Source organism: Homo sapiens, chromosome 9 (genome assembly GCF_000001405.40).
Source record: "Homo sapiens chromosome 9, GRCh38.p14 Primary Assembly".
Lineage (NCBI taxonomy): Eukaryota > Metazoa > Chordata > Mammalia > Primates > Hominidae > Homo > Homo sapiens.
In genome coordinates, this window is record NC_000009.12 from 3790735 (window position 1) to 3810348 (window position 19614).

The window sequence follows — 19614 nt, forward strand, 5'->3', positions numbered from 1 at the left end:
CAAAGTTGCTTCCACATTTTCAGATATCTTTACAGCAGCACCCCACTACCTGGTACCAATTTACTCTATTAGTCTGTTCTCACACTGTTAATAAAGACATACCCAAGACTGGGTAATTTATAAAGGAAAGAGGTTTAATTGACTCACAGTTCAGCATGACTGGGGAGGTCTCAGGAAACTTACAATCATGGCAGAAGGAGAAGCAAACACATCCTTCTTTACATGGTGGCAGGAAGAAGATGATTGAGAGCTGAGTGAAGGGGGAAACCCTTTATAAAACCATCAGATCTTGTGAGAACTTACTCACTATCATGAGAATAGCATGGGGGCAGCCACCCCCATGATTCAATTACCTCTCACCAGGTCCCTCCCACCATACATAGGGATTATGGGAACTACAACTCAAGATGAGATTTGGGTGGGCACATAGCCAAATGATATCAGATAGTTACGTACACCTTTAATTTCTAGATCATTTCTCTGCCAACCATCCTTCTTCAACAGGAATAAGGCCACCATGCTACTTCAATTCTTTCTGATTTTCTATAATCTCAATTTCTCTCCCTCTCTCTCTCAGTATCTACAGTGGATATTTATTGTTTATGGGCAACAAATGATCTAAATACCCATCCTATTTCAGAGAAATCCCAGCAGAGCCCCACAAGCCCCAGTAAAAAGACCCCAACAAGTAGCACTCTTCCTGGGCCCTTAGCAGGAAGAGAATTATGCAAAGCTGCAGACAAGACAGGGCTAAGCTGCAGTGTCTTTTCTGACTGTTCCTGTGACTGGGCATGCCTGCAGCGCCAATTGCCTAGCTTCTCTGGAATACTGCCTATATTTTTTTATCCTTGTTCCCACCTTTCCCAATAATTTTTGTGAGCTAAACTAATAGCTTTCCCATAAATTCCTTTTTTAATTAATTAATTAATTAGTATGGAAGTTAATTAGAATTGGTTTCTGTTTGCAGCCAAGTACATTGAATGATACATTCTCATTTTCTCTGCAACTTAAAAGAAATCTGCTCTCTTTCTCTCTGCCTGTCTTTCAGAGTTATTTACACAAACACACAACCTCAATAAGGAATAAGTGAGAAAATCGTCACAAAGGGTAGACTTATGGTAAGAAGTGTAGGATAAAACCAGAGGTGGGTTTATTATGTAAAATTCATACATATTTAATAAATAAAATACATTTCCATGGCTTTTGTTACAGGTGTGTAACTAATCTGTATTGAAGCTTTCTAGTAGCTAAAGTGATGATCAGAACACAATTTGTTACACAATTCTGTACCTAAAGAAGAAAAATAAACCAGTAGTTCCAGGAAGGCATAGCTGATGCTGGCACCAAAGAACTATTTCTTCCATGGGTCCTTCTAAAGAGGGCACAATATGAGAAAATGAACAACATCCTGAAAAATATCTACACGGCAAATACAATACGGTTTCATAAGTCCACAGATGAATAAGACTAAAGCTAAGTGCAACACTTTTACCAAGGCATGATGCAGATCACTTGTATGAAGACTTAATCAATAGCTGCCAGTTACTGAGCTCCATGGTTGCCTGGCTTAATTTAGGACTAAATTGGAAAGAGTAAACCTTCAGGCAGCTCTCATTTAATAAGGTATGTGTTTCCCAGCAAATCTTTTGAAGGGTACTGAGGTGCATTAAATTGCAGATTATACTCTCTGACAAGTATCTAGTGTGCAGCTGTTAAGTTTTTTTCTTCTTAATTGCAAATTCATATGCTTTAACAGCTGACTGAGCTAGGGTTAGGGCTGACATTTTTGTAAGATGTTAAGAACCTGAGGAGGCAATCTGCTTGAAGAGAAAACCAACCCAGCAATTATCAGAGATGAATCAAGAGAGTACCTATGAACTGGAACAAATACTTTTTCTTAAAAGATAAAATTCTGGTTACTACCATGTTCATAATGACATTATCACAATAGCCAAAATGTAGAAGCAACCCAAGTGTCTATTGAAAGATAAATGGATAAAAACACTGTGGTATATATACACACACACACACAGAAATATTATTCAGCCTTAAAAAGGAAGGAAATTTTGACACATGCCTCAGCACAGATAAACCTTGAAGACATTAAGTGAAATTAGCCAGTCTTCCCCCCTGCCCCCTACTCCCCCCACCAAAAAAAAAAAACAAATATTGTGTGATTCCTCTTAGATGAGGTTCCTACAGTAGTCAAATTCACAGAGACAGAAGGTAGAATGGTGGTCACCATAGGCTGGTGGGAGTGGGGAGTAGAAAATTCATGCTTAATGGATACAGAGTTTCAGGTGGGGAAGATAAAATGCTTCTGGAGGTGGATGGTGGTGATGGTTGCACAACAATGTCAGTGGACTTAATGCCACTGGCTGTACACTTAAAAATGACTAAAATGGTACATTTTATGCTATGTATGTTTTATCACAATTTACAAAATGAAAAAAGTACATTAGGAACACTCCAAAAAAGGATGAATGGCTCCAAAGTTTGATACCATTAATGCCTAGCCACAATAATTTTAATTTGAAAAGCTTTAAAAGTAGGCATTGCCAAACACCCACCTTGGCCATAAAAAAAAAATCCCAATAAATCTCCCATGTTTAGAACGTCTGATTTTGAGCAATGCAGTTTCCTGGTGAACCCTCCAAAGTAAACTGACTCTAAAGCACACATTTGGGTAAATGAATGTATTAGCCTGTTGCCTCATGTTGTTCAGAAAAGCCAGTTGGGGCCATTATCTTATTAATCCCTACAATAATCCAGGATGATTCGGGCCCATTTTGCAGATGAGCAAACCAAGACTCAGAAGATCAAATGGCTTTCTTAAAGTTGCATAGCTAGTGAGGAGAGGATCTTGGATTTGAACCAACCCTCCCCAAAACATGTTCCCATAGGCTATAGGAGGGCCTCTCTCCTTTATCTTCTATTGCACCTCATGAATCCTCAAGCAGTGAAAACGCCACTCTGGTTTCCCTTTTCTGGGTTTTACAGGCTATGTGGAACTAGTACAAAACAACTAGAAAGGCTTTATTTTTAACTAAAGGCTGCCTGCCCTACCTCTGCCAAAACCTTCACAACTTGTACAGAGGGTGAGTTTAGGGACAGGAAATGTGTGTATCTCCTTTATCACTTCATTTCATTACGTGTCCTCATTGGTAAATATTACTGAAAATCTACCATCAGACTGGCCTGAGAACTGGGGGCTTAAAACAATGAGCAGAGAAAATATTTGGTAAACTTGAGTAAGAAAATCTCCTTTGATTTTCCAGTGTCTATCCTCAAGCTTGTGAGCACAGGCTCAGTTCAGAAAAGCCCTAAGCAGGCCACCTCCCACAATTCTTAGGGGAAGTGTAACTCGATCATCCAGTTATACATCCTATCCCTGCTCCTCTCTAGTCCTCGCTAATTGCTCCTCATTACATACTTCAAGAATTCCTTTCTGTCTGGGATGTGTGTTCAGAAAACACATTGTGTTTTGTCTTCTCGTGGGCTCATTAGCATTTGCTAAAGGAAGCAGCAGAGCTTGGAGCCCTCTGATCTCCTAGAAAGGCCGGACGCTCGTTTGTTTGCCTCACTGAATTTCCTCTACTCTGTTTGCTTTCTCTGTTTGGACACCTCAACTTCATCAGGAGCTAGGGGCAGCCATCCTGGGATTGGATAAAAAGTATTTCTTTTCTCTTTGTTCAGGTACCTTGTACTTTGGCAGCCTGAAAGAGTGCTTGCTGAGTGTGCTAAAAGCTCAATTTATGTTGCTTTTTCCTTTTTGCATTGCTTCAGTGCAAGCTGTATTTTATGAAGGTTCGGTGGCATTTTCCAAAGTAGAAAGTAAGCACTCTCCCTGTATTCTTTATATATATAATCTGAGCACCTCTGAATTTTTAACACAATGTCTTCTGCCCCATTGGTGCATGCAATATTTATTAACCAACTGCAAGTTTCTATTTCACCAACTTTTTGATTGATTTCCTCTTGATGGTCACTAGAGACATAAATAACTATGTGATTCAAGCTTTTTGTTTGCCCATATCTTTTTTCTAGACATGTCTTTTTGCTTTGGCCCTGCTGCTCTTTCCACAACAATACCGTACAGTTCAGTGCTGTTAAGAGTTGCTAGGTTGGATCACATTTAAGGGGAGAGTACCGTCCCCAGGAATGTTTCAAAGACCTTTGGAAAAACATGTGTTGGCAAGAGTAATAATGAGCAGAAAGTCAGGAACCCAAGGTGTATATGCATGATTCCCCCATCAGTATCCTTGGGGAGGTTACTTCCCTTCTCTGCCTCTCAGTTGTGCCAGCTCTAAAATGAAAATATTTTACCAGATCACATCCTGTAATTCTTTCTTCATTTTGTCTCATCAACTGTTTGTTGGTTTGGAGCTACAGAGATGAGATGAATTTTGTTGATATACAAATTGAAGAAAGCTGGATTTGATCTTCATTTAGCCTTGCTTTCCTCCCACCACCCCCAACAAATGGTTGCTTGGAACCACCTCCTTTAACTCAGCCAACATTTTTATTGACCACGAATGAAAAGTTCTTTGAGCTCCACCTGGATTTGTGACTTCCCCTCTCCACCCTCCACCTCCTAGACTCTCCTGGCTCTGGATCACTGCCCTTTCTCTTGTAAGACATATCCTCTGCTTTTCCTCCTGTGGAAATTAGTCTTATTCCTTCTGCAGTGTTCATTTTACTCTATTCAATAGCAAAAATCTTACCTATGTTTCTCTGAAAGATCTTTACAATGCAGAGAGTAGGATATAAAGATAAAACTTAAAGTAAATTATTATGAGCCTCTGATATTAATCACATGACTCCAGAAATAGACTCTCTTTTTAGAGAAAAGTGGACCTGCCATAATTGCACCACTTGCCTTGGCTTGGAGGTTGCCATTTTGGACAGCAATGTGAGTTTCCTTTCTTCTTTTTTTCCGCCTATGTGAATAAGGAAATGCCAGAGACCTTCCCACCCCCTCAGTCAACCCAGTACTCCCTGTTCAGGTGCTTCTGCCAACTAATTAACACCTCCTTTGCAAGCTGTAAATTGGACGGCAGATGCGCATAAATGTAGAGCCCAGTGGGGAGTCTCATGCTTTCTATATACGTATATTTCATGAAAGGCAGGAAGTGAAATCAAGTAGGCTGATGGGAAATGCATTTTGCCAAAATGGCCACCCCCATATTCTTACATATATTTATGTTATTTTAACACAAAATAAATTTCTCATGTCTTTGGAGGAGAGGCCCATTTTTGTTTTTTCAGACATAACCCAATGGGCTCTCAAAACTCTGGGAAAATCATTAAACATCTTTGGGTAGCACTAGGATGGTACTAGAGATGCAGGCACATTTGCATGTTTACATCGGGTCTGTTAAACATTATCCTTCCAACCCTCCAAGGACCAGGGTCTTGATTATTAAATCCCTGCCTCTAGTCTCAATCTGCTCCAACTATCCTAATTTTTACTGCCAGTGTTCTGTCTATAAACAAAATAGCATCAAGCTGCTTACAGTTTAAAATTGTTTTATGCTTCTCCAGATCTCATAGGATATATTCAAAATAATTTAGTGGGGGTCCATAGCCCCTGAGGCTCTGTTTCCTCCCTACCTTTCTCTCCTCCCACCCATGCACATCGTTCATACCAGCAAGACTGAATAACTTGTCATTCCCCGCACAGGTGATCTTTCACGCCTCTACATTCTAGATCTGACCCTTCCCCATCTCACTTTAGAAGCTACAATTCTTACTTTCTACAAAGAACTTGAAATTTTTTTTTCTTTAACCTGCAATTCAATTCATTTAATTCAATTCAACAAAGCCTACTGAGTACCTTTTCTGTGCCAAACACTGCTATGCTCAGGAGATATGATGATAAATAAGTCATAAAGTCTCTCTCTGAGGAGTTCACAACATAGTGGAGTAGGGGAGACATCAGTAAATGACTACAATAAATTTCAGCAGAGTCTCCCCGAGGACATGCTTGAAGGCCTGTGGCAGCAAAAAATAACTTATTCTTTAGGAATGGTGGCTGGGGTTGGGGAAGGCAAAGGTGCCAGGGAAAGGTTTCAGAGGGGAGATGGACACTGGCGTGAGTCTACTGCTCTATTTGCTTTGGCTTCATGCTTCCTGGTGTCTGGTAGGCAGCTCTGCCTAAAACAGAAGGAAAACAACAAAGAGCTGGATAAACCAAGTCACATGGGATGGACCCTGAATGCAGAGGATATTAAGTATCATGGATATTGAAAGATATGAAAAAATAATCTCCATATTATGTCAAAAATTGGCCAACTTTACTTTAAATAGCACTTGTCTTCCTCTCTGAGGGGGAAATGTGGGGGTTTTTTTGTACATACACACAGCAATAGCTATAGTAAATTGTTCAACATGCCCTGTTGTGTGTGTAAGCAAAAGTGTAGAGATTTGAAACCTATTGCTGAAAGAATTTTAGCCAAAATTTCAGAAAATTTTGGACTTCTAAGTAATTTGTGAATGATGGAATAGGTAGGGGACAGCAAGTCTAAAGGGGGGTACATTTAAGTCTCCACTTCCTTCTTACTCAGAAGCAAGTGATGACCTTAACCACAGTGTCCAAGGGAATCGCCTCTCTGTGGTGTGGTCAGTATCTCTGTAGTGTAGGCAGGTTGGTTACTACTGTGATGTCCACTTATTGACTCAGGTGCTGGTCTTTTTCTCTACATTTCATCCCCAAAGTGTGGTTCCAGATCAGCAGTGTCAGCATGGCCTGGGAGCTTGTTAGAAATGCAGAACCTCAGGCCCCACCTCAGACCTACTGAATTGGAATGTGTATTTTATTAGGATCCTTCTCTAATTCAGTGCACATTAAAGTTTGATAATCACTGTGTTAACCGCATTCAAACTTCACAACATCCCTACGGGGTTCTCAGCTCTTAACCTCAGGTTTGAAGTACACAAGAAATGCCTGATAAAATCTCTTGCAGTGTACACATTCATGTGTGTAAAGCATGATAGTTAAAAGAGGTGCCCCAGATTGTATTCACTGGCATTCTCTCCCCATCACATATGTGTAACGCACACACTTCGAGAAGTAAATCAATAAAAAACATTTTCCCCATTAAAACTTCTTCCCTTCTTTTCTGATCCTTCCCCAACATGCACACAAGCACACGCGTGTGAGCGCATGCACACACGCACACACAACTTATTGCCAACTTTTAAATGACAATTATTAAGCCAGTGGGCAGAGAAAGGGACATCTGTCAAAGGGATCCATGATTTGTCTTGGAAAAATAAAGAAAAGTTAAATTACTGTACACGAGTTATTCTGAGTAAAGAAGCCAAGTTAGCCCTCACTCTTTTATTGTTACTTCTTTTTTCTTTTAAATGTTACCTGACCAAAAGGATGAAATTGCCAAGCTACTGCTTACTACACTGATCAAAGTAAGCAGTGACCAGGAAAGGAGCAGCAGCCACCAAATACTTCTTCCTTAAGCCCAATGGTACTTGGCTTCTAAACTCTATTTAGATAGAAAAGGTAATACAGTATATATAGAATGTAAAGAGCCTAACCCATTAGCAGCAAATGTTATTCCTTCCCTGTCTCAAAATCTCTCTTCCTGTCTTTAATTCTTAAAGCACTTTATTTATTTATTCATTCATACATTCATTCCTTTTGAAGGGGAGAACTAAATACTGAGGAACTATTGGGAGAAGGAAGACTATAAGCTGTGCTTAGAAAAATGAAAAGTGCCTGTTCTATAGATACTCAATAAGTGTTTGTTAAATTTTGAATGAAATAATTAAACAGCAATACCCTGGAAGGTTGCCTAAGCAGTACTGACTACCCCAATCAATGACAGTCCTCAGATCAGATTGTCCTTCCTTCAAGGAATGTTGACCTCACAAAGGGATTTTGGTTGACCACCAAAAGAACACAGACCTGCAGTGTTCAGGATAGAGAGTTAGATTACTGCAGTACTACTTGAACAAAGCCAAAATTTGTAGAGCTATTTGAGGGAACTAGAAGCTTCCATAAAGATCTTCAGATGAAGACTGAGATCTTTAAAACTTTATTTTAAAAAATGCAGAGACAACAGTCAACACCTGAATCAAGAAGCAGACACCACAGTACAAACCAAACGGCATGATGACAAAGATATTGACTGCACCAACAGCAAGGCTGTTTCCTTACCTCCCTGCTTATGGTCATCAGTTGCTTCTCAGTAAGGGGAAAGACTTAACTATATCTCCCTTTCTATTGGTTGCCACCTGTGCATACAAATATACAACAAATTGCATAGAATTATTATCATAGGTTGTAGGCTCACTCTTTCTTAAAACATTTGCTTTCTCATTTGTCATAAAGTCTCGAGTTAAAAAACCCTGTCAGGTACTGTGTAGAGAAATTCAGTCTGTGTGGGCCCTGTGTGAGTTATACTTCTGAGACCCACAATGTGTCAAGGAGGCATCCAGCCTCTCACCACCTGTAAGTATCTGTCCTGAAGAAACCTATTTATTTTTGGCCATGCTACCTGTTAACCAAATACAGACAGTCTTTGAATTGAACTTTTCCAAGATGCAAAATTCCATTTTTGATTAAAATGAGCTAAGGGAAAATATATTGAAGAGAACAGAAAGAATTCTGTCATAGGCAAATTTGAGAATAACCCATTGACAATTGTAGGGGTAAAAGATATAGAAAATGGAAAGTAAACCACAAAGGCTAAAACGCAGGTACATATTTTATAATGATATAACAGGACTTTGCCTATTATTCAACTTACAGAAAAGAAAATCTTACTTGTATTTTTGCAGCCTCTTCTGTGTCCCTTGAAGCCCCTATATTCTTCCCATTCCTCCCAAGGTACCTACAAGCCTGAATTTCATGAGTATTATCCCTTTGCTTTCCCTATCCCTTTACCACATTTGTATCCTTAAATGGGATTGTATTAAAAAAAACAGTCCCCAACTTACAATAGTTCAACTTGGGGATTTTCGACTTCACGATGATGCTTTCTGCCGTGTATGTTAATGGTGAGTACCCATACAATCATTCTGTTTTTCACTTTCAGCACAGCATTTAATAAGTTACATGAATATTTAACACTTTATCATAAAATAGGCCTAGTGTTAGTTGACTTTGCACAACTACAGGCTAATGTAAGTGTTCTGAGCATGTTTAAAGCAGGCTAGGCTAAGCTAAGATGTTTGGTAGGTTAGGTGTACTAAATGAATTTTTGATGTATATTTTCAGCTTACAATGGATTTATCAGAGTGTAATCCTATCATAAGCTGAGGAGCATCTCTATATTCATTGTGATTGACTTGGTTTTTCAATAAAGTGTATTCCTGAGACCAATTTCTGTTGTGTGTAACCATAACTCATCGCTTGATGCTACATAATATTCCTTTATATGAATATTTTCCAACTAATATACAGGTTGAACACTTCTAATATGAAATCCAAAGTTCAAAATGCACCAAATTCCAAAACATTTTGAGCACAACACAATGACACAAGTGGAAAATTCCACACATGACCTCATGTGATCGGCCACATCCTTAAGCCAGGTGCACAAAACACAATTTATTCCACATTCCTAAGAGAATAAAGGCTCTCCCTTCCTACTTCAGCTGCAATATATCTTTTCTGCACATGCCCAGACTCCCCTATGTCAGCACACTCACAAAGGCTAATAAAATGGCACATACACATATGCAGGCGGGACATGCCAATGCTAGGTTCCACATGATGCCCTACGTGGGGCCAAGACCTATGTGCATTACTCACTTTTTGTTGTTGTTGTTGTTATTATTGTTTTTGCTTATTTTCTGCTTTCTGGTATAAAGATGTGGAAAATGTCAAAAATGTCTGCAGATATCCCTATGGGTAACAATGATAAGAAAAAGAGGAAGTGTTTATGTTTACCTACAGCACAGAAAGCCAAGTTGCTGGAGAAAATATGCAGCAGTGTAAGCCTGAAACATCTTACAGAAGAGTATAGTTTTGGAATGACCACTATATATGACCTGAAGAACAGAAGAATAAACTGTTGAAGTTCTGTGCTGAAAGTGATGTATGGAGGTTAGTGAAAAACAGATAAATACTGCATAAAGCTGAAACTGAAGATCTTGGTCCTATATTAAAATAATGGATCAGTGTCACAATGAACGTATACCATTTAATAGTATGTTGATTATGAAATAAGCATAGATCTATCACAATGAACTGAAAATTGAAGGGAACGGTGACTATTCAACAGGCTGGTTGCAGAAATTTAAGAAAAGACGTAGCATTAAATCTGTAAAGACTTGTGATAAAGCAACTGCTGATCACAAAGTGGACAAATTCATTGATGGGTTTGCCAAGATTATCACTGATGTAAATGATGCCAGAACAAGTATATGATGTGAATGAAACATCACTCTGTTGTTGTAACTGCCCCAAAAAGACATAGACTATATCTGATGAGACAGCCCCGACGTGAACTAATGATACCAAAGATAGAATGACTGTGCTGGAGTGTGCTAATGCAACAGGCACACCGAAGTGTAAACTTGCTGTGTCGGGCGAAAACTTAGATCCTCCCTGTTTTCAAAGAGTGAATTTCATACCAGTTCATTATTGTATTATGCTAACAAAAAGGCATATACTTCCAAGAACATCTTTTCTGTTTGGTTTCACAGACATTTTGTACCAGTGGCTCATGTTCACTGCAGGGAAGCCAGACTAGATGACAACTGCAAGCTTTTATTATTACTGGACAACCATTCTGTTCATCCTTCAGCTGAAATTCTCATCAAAATAATGTTAATGCCATGTACTTTCACTCAAATGTGATTTCATTAATTCAGCCATGTGACCAAGTTCTCTTAGATCAATGAAGTAAATATAAAAACACTTTCCTCAACGGTAGGCTAACAGCAGTGAACAGAGAAACATGAGTGTGAAAGGTTTTCAAAAGGAGTTTGACGTGAAGGATGCTTTATATGCTGTTGTCAATGCCTGGAACACAGTGATTAAAGACACAGTTGGACATGCCTGGCACAAATTCTGGCCTGGAACCATATTCAGTGATGATGACCAAGATGGTAACTTTGAAGGATTTCATATGTCAAGTGAGAAAAAAAATGATGTATGACTTCCTTGCATACGCAAAAAAATATACCTTCAGATTTCATCGGTAAACTGGGAGAAGCAAATATTGAGGAAGTGTTTCATATCAACAATGAAGCTACAGTTGTTCATTGACCAATGGTGAAAGAGCTGAAATGATTCTGAATCAAGGAGATCGTGGTAAATAGTGATGATAAAGTCTACATTGTCATCAGAAAAAGTGCCTGTAGATGACATGGTGAAAATGTGTGATGGGGCTTTTGAAGGACTAGGGCAGAATGCATTCATAACAAAACAAGAAATCGTGTCAGTGTATAAAATCTAAGAAAAGACTTCTAAGATAAAGCCTTGTTAATGAGGCAGATGACTTTGGAGGAAATAGTTTAAAAAAACCATTCACTGGAATGCCTTCTCATCCCTAGGTATTTATTTCCTGATCCCTCAACTGTTTCTGATGTTTTTTTCTCACCTGAAAAAATAAAATACAATGTACAATAACCTTTTATTCAAAACACACCATCATAGGTGGAGACTGAAAGCCTGTCATTGTTGTTAGCATTGTTTAACAGCTCATACAGGTATTTTGGTGATGCTACTAGGCTGCTTAGTTACCCTGAACACATTATTTTTTCACTGTATTAATGGCATGTCTTACTTTTTGCTGTTAAGTACTTATGTGTGAAAAAGTATGAAAAATGATCGCTTATTGGTAGCATATCAATTGAGAGTCAGCCATGATGGTGATGTGAGATAGTGACACTATGATTTCCGCTGGTCCAATATACACAAGCTTTGTTATATGCACAAAATTATTTAAGATATTGTATAAAACTTCCTTCAGGTTATGTATATAAGGAGTATGTGAAACATAAATGAATTTTGTGTTCAAATTTGGATCTAATTTCCAAGCTATCTCGTTATGTATATGCAAATATTCCAAAATCTGAAAAGAATCTGAAATCTAAAACACTTCTGGTTCCAAACATTTCAGATAAAGAATACTCAACCTGTATCAGTTTTGATGGTGATGATCAGATGGTTTGTTTCTGAGTTTTTTATTATTACAAAAATATTGCTCTGAGTATTCTTTGTCTCTTGGTCATATGTGAAAGAGTTTCTCTAGGATATAAAATGAGTAGAATTGCTGGGTAATGTTGTGTGTGCATATTTAATTTTACTAGGCACTGCCAGTTGTACCTATTTACACTGCTACCAGAAAAGTATAAGTGTTCTGGTTGCTTCATATTTGCACCAACATGATATTACACTTGATCCTCTGTATGCATGGGTTCTGCATTTGTGGATTCAACCAACCATGGATTCAGAAAAAATAACAATATAGTAATAAAAATAATACAAAGTAAAAACAATATAACAACTATTTACATAGCATTTACATTGTATTAGATATTATAAATAATCTACAGATGATTTAAAGTATACAGGAAAGGATGGGTGCAGTGACTCACGTCTGTAATCCTAGCACTTTGGGAGGCTGAGGTGGGTGAATCACCTGAGGTCAGGAGTTCGAGAGCAGCCTGGCCAACATGGCGAAACCCCATCTCCATTGTGGTAGTACACACCTGTGGTCCCAGCTACTCAGGAGGCTGAGGCAGGAGAATTGCTTGAACCTGGGAGGCAGAGGTTGCAGTGAGCTGAGGTAGCGCCACTGCACTCCAGCCCGGTGACAGAGCAGGATTCCATCTCAAAAAATAAAATAAAATAAAATACAAACGTATACAAGAGGATGTGCATAGTTTATACACAAATACTATGCCAGTTTATAGAAGGAACTTGAGCATCCTCATATTTTGGTATCTGTGGTGGGTCCTGGAACCAGTTTCTTGCAGATACTAAGGGATAACTGTAGTACACATACATTTTTTTAAATCAATCTAACATCTGTGAAATGTTATCTCATTTTGATTTAAATTTGCATTTCCTTAAAATACAATGAGGCTGAGCATCTTTTCATAAATGTATTGCCCATTCAAGTTTTCTTTTCTCATAAGTGCTTATTCAAGACTTTTGCCCATTTTTGGGCAAACGAGTTATTTCCTTTCTTAGTGATTTATGGTTTTTCATAAATTCTGAATACTATCATTTTGTTAGTTTTAATGCTGCAAATAATTTCTTCTTGTTTGTAGTTTGTCTTTTTGCTCTCTTTAGGAGCCTGGAAATATACGTAATATTAAATTGAATGAAGTCAGATTTATCTTCTTTATGGTTTGCACTATTTCATTTTAAGAAACTCTTAAATATCTTAGTGTCACAAAGACACTCCCCTTTATCTAAGGATTTGCCCTTCACATTTAAATCTGGCTGAGATTTATTTATTTTTAATGTGTGGAGTGAGATAGGGATCCAATTTTAATTATTTCCATGTGTATAACCAATTGTCTCAGCATATTTTATTGAATTCCATTTTTTCCTCCACTGATCTGATTTGTTACAAACGTTTTCACATATGTGTGGGTCTGTTTTTTGGCTTTTTGTTCAATTCCATTGGTTACTCGCCTGTGATGATGTCACATTATGTTGTAATATTCTTCATATTTGTGAGGGTCAGTAATCACTTTTCCAAACAACTTCTCCTTTCTCTCTTCTTTCTCTCTGTCTTCTTCTCATCTTCCTATTCCTTCTACTTTTTCTTTCCCTTCTGCTTCAAAGTTCTATTTTTTTCTTTTGCCAAGTTAAGCCCTCTTCCCTTACCTACACGTATAAAGACTTGTTGGTATTTTAAAATTCAGATTGTATTAAATATATAGATCAATTTAGTAATAACAGGCAGCTTTATGATTTTGAGTGCTCCAATCCATAAATGTAGTATTTATTTCCATTCATTTAGATCATATTAAATCAATTAATAAAATTAGTATTTTTCTTCATTAAAATCTTTTCCATATTCAGTTAGATTTATTTTTAGGCACTTAAAGTTTTTTAAACATATCATTGCAAACAATCTTTTATAAAATTACATTTTCTAACTAATCATGCCAGTTAGTACAAATGCAACAAATTTATTTACATTGATTTTGAATCCAAGAACACTGATAAACTTACTAATTTTAAAATTTTCTAAGTATGTTCTTTTAGGTTTTCTAGGAATATTCTAATGTCATCTGAAAATAATGAAGTCGATTTATGCTTTTCTAAGCTGAACCCTATGCCTTAAAAAAACAACCACCACAACAATTCAGCATCAGAGGGTAGAGTTAATCATGCTCTTCTGTTCATAGCATGCTACTATCATTGGTCTCACAAAGCCCTTCTCTTATTTATTGACTTATTTATTCCCTTTATCTTTATCCCATACTCTACTGCTACTTGCCTTTTCCCTATAGATACCATTTAAAAAAAAAAATTTTTTTTTGAGGCAAAGTCTCGCTCTGTCGCCCAGGCTGGAGTGCGGTGGCGCCATCTCGGCTCACTGCAAGCTCCGCCTCCCGGGTTCACGCCATTCTCCTGCCTCAGCCTCCCGAGTACCTGGGACTACAGGCGCCCGCCACCACGCCCGGCTAATTTTTTGTATTTTCAGTAGAGACGGGGTTTCACCGTGTTAGCCAGGATGGTCTCGATCTCCTGACCTCGTGATCCGCCCGCCTCAACCTCCCAAAGTGCTGGGATTACAGGCGTGAGCCACAGCGCCCAGCCCTTAAAATATTTTTAAAATGTATATATATTTTCAATATGTGCATGAGTTTTATATGTATGTAAATGTTATTGTGTTTTGCAGCTTATTCTTTCTTTCTTTTCTAATTTTTTTAGTCAGAGCCGTTTTTTAAGGTTTATCAATATTGCTACATGCATATTTAAATCTTGCAGATTTTCACCTTCATTAAATTGCCCCTAGTAGACATTGCTGTTGTCACTCATCTAGTTTTCCATTTCTTCCAGGATATGGGAGAATTCTATTTTCCTGCCTCTTGAAGTTAAGCATAACCTTGTTAATTTCCTTAGCCAATATAAGTAAGTGAAAGTACGGGTGTCATTTCCAGATGAAAGCATGTAAAAGCCCGGGTGCAATTTCCACACTCTTTCCTCAGTCATGGCAGTTGTGAAAAAAAAGTGTTAATGTAAAGGTTTCATAATACTAAAGCGGCCTTGAAATGCCAAGCCAATTTGGCATCATAAAGGTTTATTTTTGTAAAATTCTTCCGTATAAACTCAAAAAGAATTCTATGGATTTTATGTTTGTGTGTTGTATAATTCTTTACATATCTTTGATAAATCTACATATGTTTCTTTACTTGATCTATAAATTTCAGTTTCTGAAAGTGGTGTGTTAAAATTGGTAACTTACATTACTTATCTCTCTTTGGTTTTGTTAGTTGTTACTTGGTATGTTTTGAGTCTGTATAATTAGGTGTGTATATGTTTATAATCAATATATCTTTTTATTACTTCCTTTTATTGTATATGAGATCTTTTTAGTTTTTTTAAGACATATTTTTCTTAAATCTGATCAAATATTAGGATTGTTACTGCAGCCTTTCTGTGGCTAATATTTTCTTGTTATATATTTACATCTCTTTAAGTCTTTTTGTATTTTTGTTTTCAGTGAGCTCTTCTAGTAACATATATTTGAAGCCTCTTTTATGAATCCAACTTGAGAATCTGTCTTTTAAATGGTGAGTTTAATACATTTATATTTATTATTATTATTGTTATATTAGAACATATTTTTGTCATCTTTCTTAATATTTTCCAGCCATTATACTTACTTTGGCTTTTTCTCTTTAATTCTTCCTCCTTTCCTTTATTACTTTAGAAGTGCTATGCCATTATCCCATTATCTTCTTGCATTCAGTGTTGCTGTTGAGAAGTCTGATGTTATTCTGATGTTTATTCTCCTGTGGTTGAGCTGTTTTTTCTAAAAGTATTAGTAATTGTTCTTGCTTTTCATGTCTTTAAATTTTACTATATTTAGGTGTCAATTTTTCCTAATCTCTTACATTTGGCAGTGTATGGGTTATTTTCATCTGTGTCATTTGTATTCAATTCTGAGAAATATAACTTCATTTTTTTCTTCAAATATTTTTCTTCATTTTTATTTTCCTCTCCTTCTAGAGTTTCTAGCTTCTGGGTGTTGGCATCTTTACTTATACTATCCATTTCTTTTAGCTTTTCTTTCATATTTTCTTTCTTTTATTCTTTTTATCATCTTTTATGAAACCTCAATATGGTCTTATATTTTATTAATTCATTTTTAGCTGCATCTATCCTACTGTATTCTTTTTTCCAACCATTCTATTTGTTATAGCTAATATTTCCACTTGATTATTTTCATTATTATTTTGGTTATTGTTTCATATTGGTAATATTTTTTCTCATTTCCTTAAATATCTTAGCAGGCTTTACTGAAAGCTTTGTCCTCTATTCTAATATGTCTGCTTTGAATTATATATGTTGCAGTCTGTGGTATTATACAGGAGTCTGGTTATTTTAGTTTGCGAGCTCATGACCCATTCAGTGGTCATGAACTCTGTCAGGTAGTATGTACTTAAAAAGGTCTATTCACAGTCCTTGTCTTTTGTCAGTGCTGGAAACTTTAAGAAAGAGAGTAGGCTTAGTTCCAAGGTACATTGTCACAGAAACAACCATAGCACCACTGCTGACTATTAATATTTCTTTGCCACTCTACCAGGAAACTATCCACAGGGTTTTGACTTTAGACCATTAGGCCGAAACAGTATTTGGAGAAAGTAGTTATCTCCTAAGTCTGTACTAAAAAGTTTTGGGGATATTGAGGTGAAAGTGAACAGAGAAATGAAAGTTTAGGGAGGCTGGTCTCTTCATACCAGTTTTCATCAATACCTCATCTTAAAAGGACTTTTCTATTACTCTCATACTCCCTAGCATTGGTGTACTGGGTTGTGTCAGCTGATTTCTAAGTGAAAAGGCAGCCAATGTAGGCTCTAAGGCAATTCAAGGGAGAGGCAAGAATGCAACCGGAAATCTTAATTGTCTTCTTACTATCTCTGGTCATCCTTTCTCAGGGCTTTAGTCACCTTCCTCCCACATCGTTCCACACTCCACCTCTCACTCTAGTTTAACACTGACTTCAACATCCTCAGGAGTTTCTCAATATTATTCCAGATTTTGTTGCTGCTTCTGTAACCCAAATTTTCCTTTCACTTTTATGGTTCCCATGGATTTGATTTTGAAGAGGGAAGCAGCAGCCTGTAGTCATTCACCATCATCACAGGAATAGAAGCCTTTAGTTCTTTTTCCTGACCTTACTGTGCTGAACAGAATCTCCAGCACAATATCAACTGCATTGATAGTGGGTACTCTTCTTGTTCCCACTGTGATAGAGGATGCTAAGACATTGCTCCAGTTCATTATGAAAACGTTTTCTAAAGTTATTTTGGATTTTCAGAAAGAACTATTAAGGATTAGAGGGACAATGTTGTCTCTGATTTAACTCAAGAACTTGGGAGATCACAGAGATAAACTTCTGAAGGGCATCAGATCTTCCCAGAAATCAAGTGCGGAAGTTCAGCGGAATGCTGTTGGACACAGTAGGCACAATGGATGAAAATTAGAAAGGTCAGTGAAGAATGTTTGTTAAATTCTTGATATGTTAATAAGTACTTCTTTGTTTAAGGTGGTGCTGAGGTAGTTATATGGTTAAGAAGTGTTTAGTAAAGTTTTTCTACTTTAAGTTCTGGGGTACATGTGCAGAACGTGCAGGTTTGTTACATATGTGCCATGGTGGTTTGCTGCACCCATCAACCCATCATCTAGGTTTTAAGCCCTGCATGCATTAGGTATTTGTCTTAATGCTCTCCCTCCCCATAAAGGATTTTTTAATTGGAAGTTTTAGATAGCGGAAAGTACACACAAATGGCAATCTGTTGCTCCTACTTTTGACACCCAAAGTATTTTAAGCTCCTTCTTTCAGTGCTCCGCAGAATAATGATTCTTCAGAAAGAAGGCAGCTTCTAGACAGAATACAAGTCACACAAGGTGCTCAGGTTAGGGAGAGAGGGTGAGCTGTGGCACTGTGCAGACAGTCTTTTGTGGAAACCACAAAAGATAAAGACCCAAGTCTGAATTACTGACAGTCTGAACTCAGAGTAAATGCTGCAGCAAAAATTCATGATAATAAGGGCCCAGAAGTGGGTGTCCATGATGATAGCTCAATCAAGGCAGGTTTTGCTAAGAGTCCTGTTGGCTAAGGTTCACTATTTATTCACTATTGGTATGTGACAATCCTGTAACTATTGGGCTCCCTTTGACTGTTAGAGTCATGATTCTAGCTCTCATAGTGGCCCAGCTCATTAGGCTGCTGTGAACACCTTTTGAATCATATGCCAGGTTCACCTACTTCTTGCCCCCTCATTCATTGTGGGGATTCTTGTTAACAAATATACCAAATGTTGGAGGTTATTGATCAGAACAGGGATGAGTACCTGAACCAAGATGGATGCCTCAGAACCTCCTGTTTGTCGATTTGACATCCAGATTGATAGGATATGTATCCATATTTATGTCTATGTCTGTATCTACATCTACATCTGCCTATTTATCCATACATATAGAGAGACTGGCTGACTTACTCTCTTTTCCCTCCTCAAGATGGTGAAGTATAAACCCGGGAATGTGAGACAGGCATCACTTGTAGTTACATGAATCAGAAAATAAAAGGAGGCAGGTCTGCAAAGGTAGGAGAAAAGAACAATCAGGTCAAAATGAGTAGAGACGAAAGATGAAGAGAGAGGGAGCTGGATTAACATTTCAGTTCCATTCTGATGTCTCATTGCATTTGTACCCTGTGTTTTTCAAGATCTTTCCCTTCTCAACTGAAGCAAATGCAGATTTATTTTTGTTATTTGTAAACAAAACAGTTTTTGGCTTCCAGTCTGGTGGTATAGAATTTCTCTTCCACTCTCTGATATCTTGGCATTATCCCTCAGTACCCTGCTCTATGCACCAGTCCTGAGGTTGAAGCCCAGGGGAAGCAATACTAAGAGATGAAGCCTTGGCATTGCTCTGTGCAGCTGCAGCCTTCTTGAGTGAAGCTTCCCCTGCCCATGTGACCATTGTGGTTCTCATGCCTCAGGATGGCATCCCCATTGACTTTAGAGCCTACTGGAACCTCTCTCAAACCACAAAGAAAGTATTCTTGTCATAAGTCACTTCCTGGATCCATCTTCTTGGTGAATCATTAATAGTGCCAACTGCCAGGTGGACTAGCCCAGGCTGCAAACTTTTCAATGAACACAGCTGGGTTGAGGAGGAAAATGGCCCAAGAGGAAAACATATCATGGATCCTGGAGAAAATTCTGGAATATGAAGCCAAGGGACATCACACATGCATGTCAGAACTGTATAGATCAACCGATTCAACTCCTTGATTTTAAAAGTGGTGGAGGGGAATCAATATTTATTAATGGCCAGCTTTGTGATAGACACATGAATCCCCCAAGAAGTTTGTAACGCAGGTATGATTCCTGTTGAAAAGATGAAGAAACTGAGGTTCAGAGTGGTCAAGTAATTTGCTTATG

General features: G+C 37.8%; 1 long non-coding RNA gene across 1 annotated transcript; it reads left to right on the forward strand.

Annotated features, from left to right (window-relative positions):
* Positions 1-1048: 1048 nt before the first annotated feature.
* LOC105375962 (uncharacterized) lies at positions 1049-11876 on the forward strand. Its single transcript, XR_929442.3, has 4 exons — positions 1049-1118; positions 1213-1623; positions 9920-10069; positions 10672-11876. It is a non-coding gene; the product is annotated as an uncharacterized LOC105375962 (long non-coding RNA).
* Positions 11877-19614: the final 7738 nt, after the last annotated feature.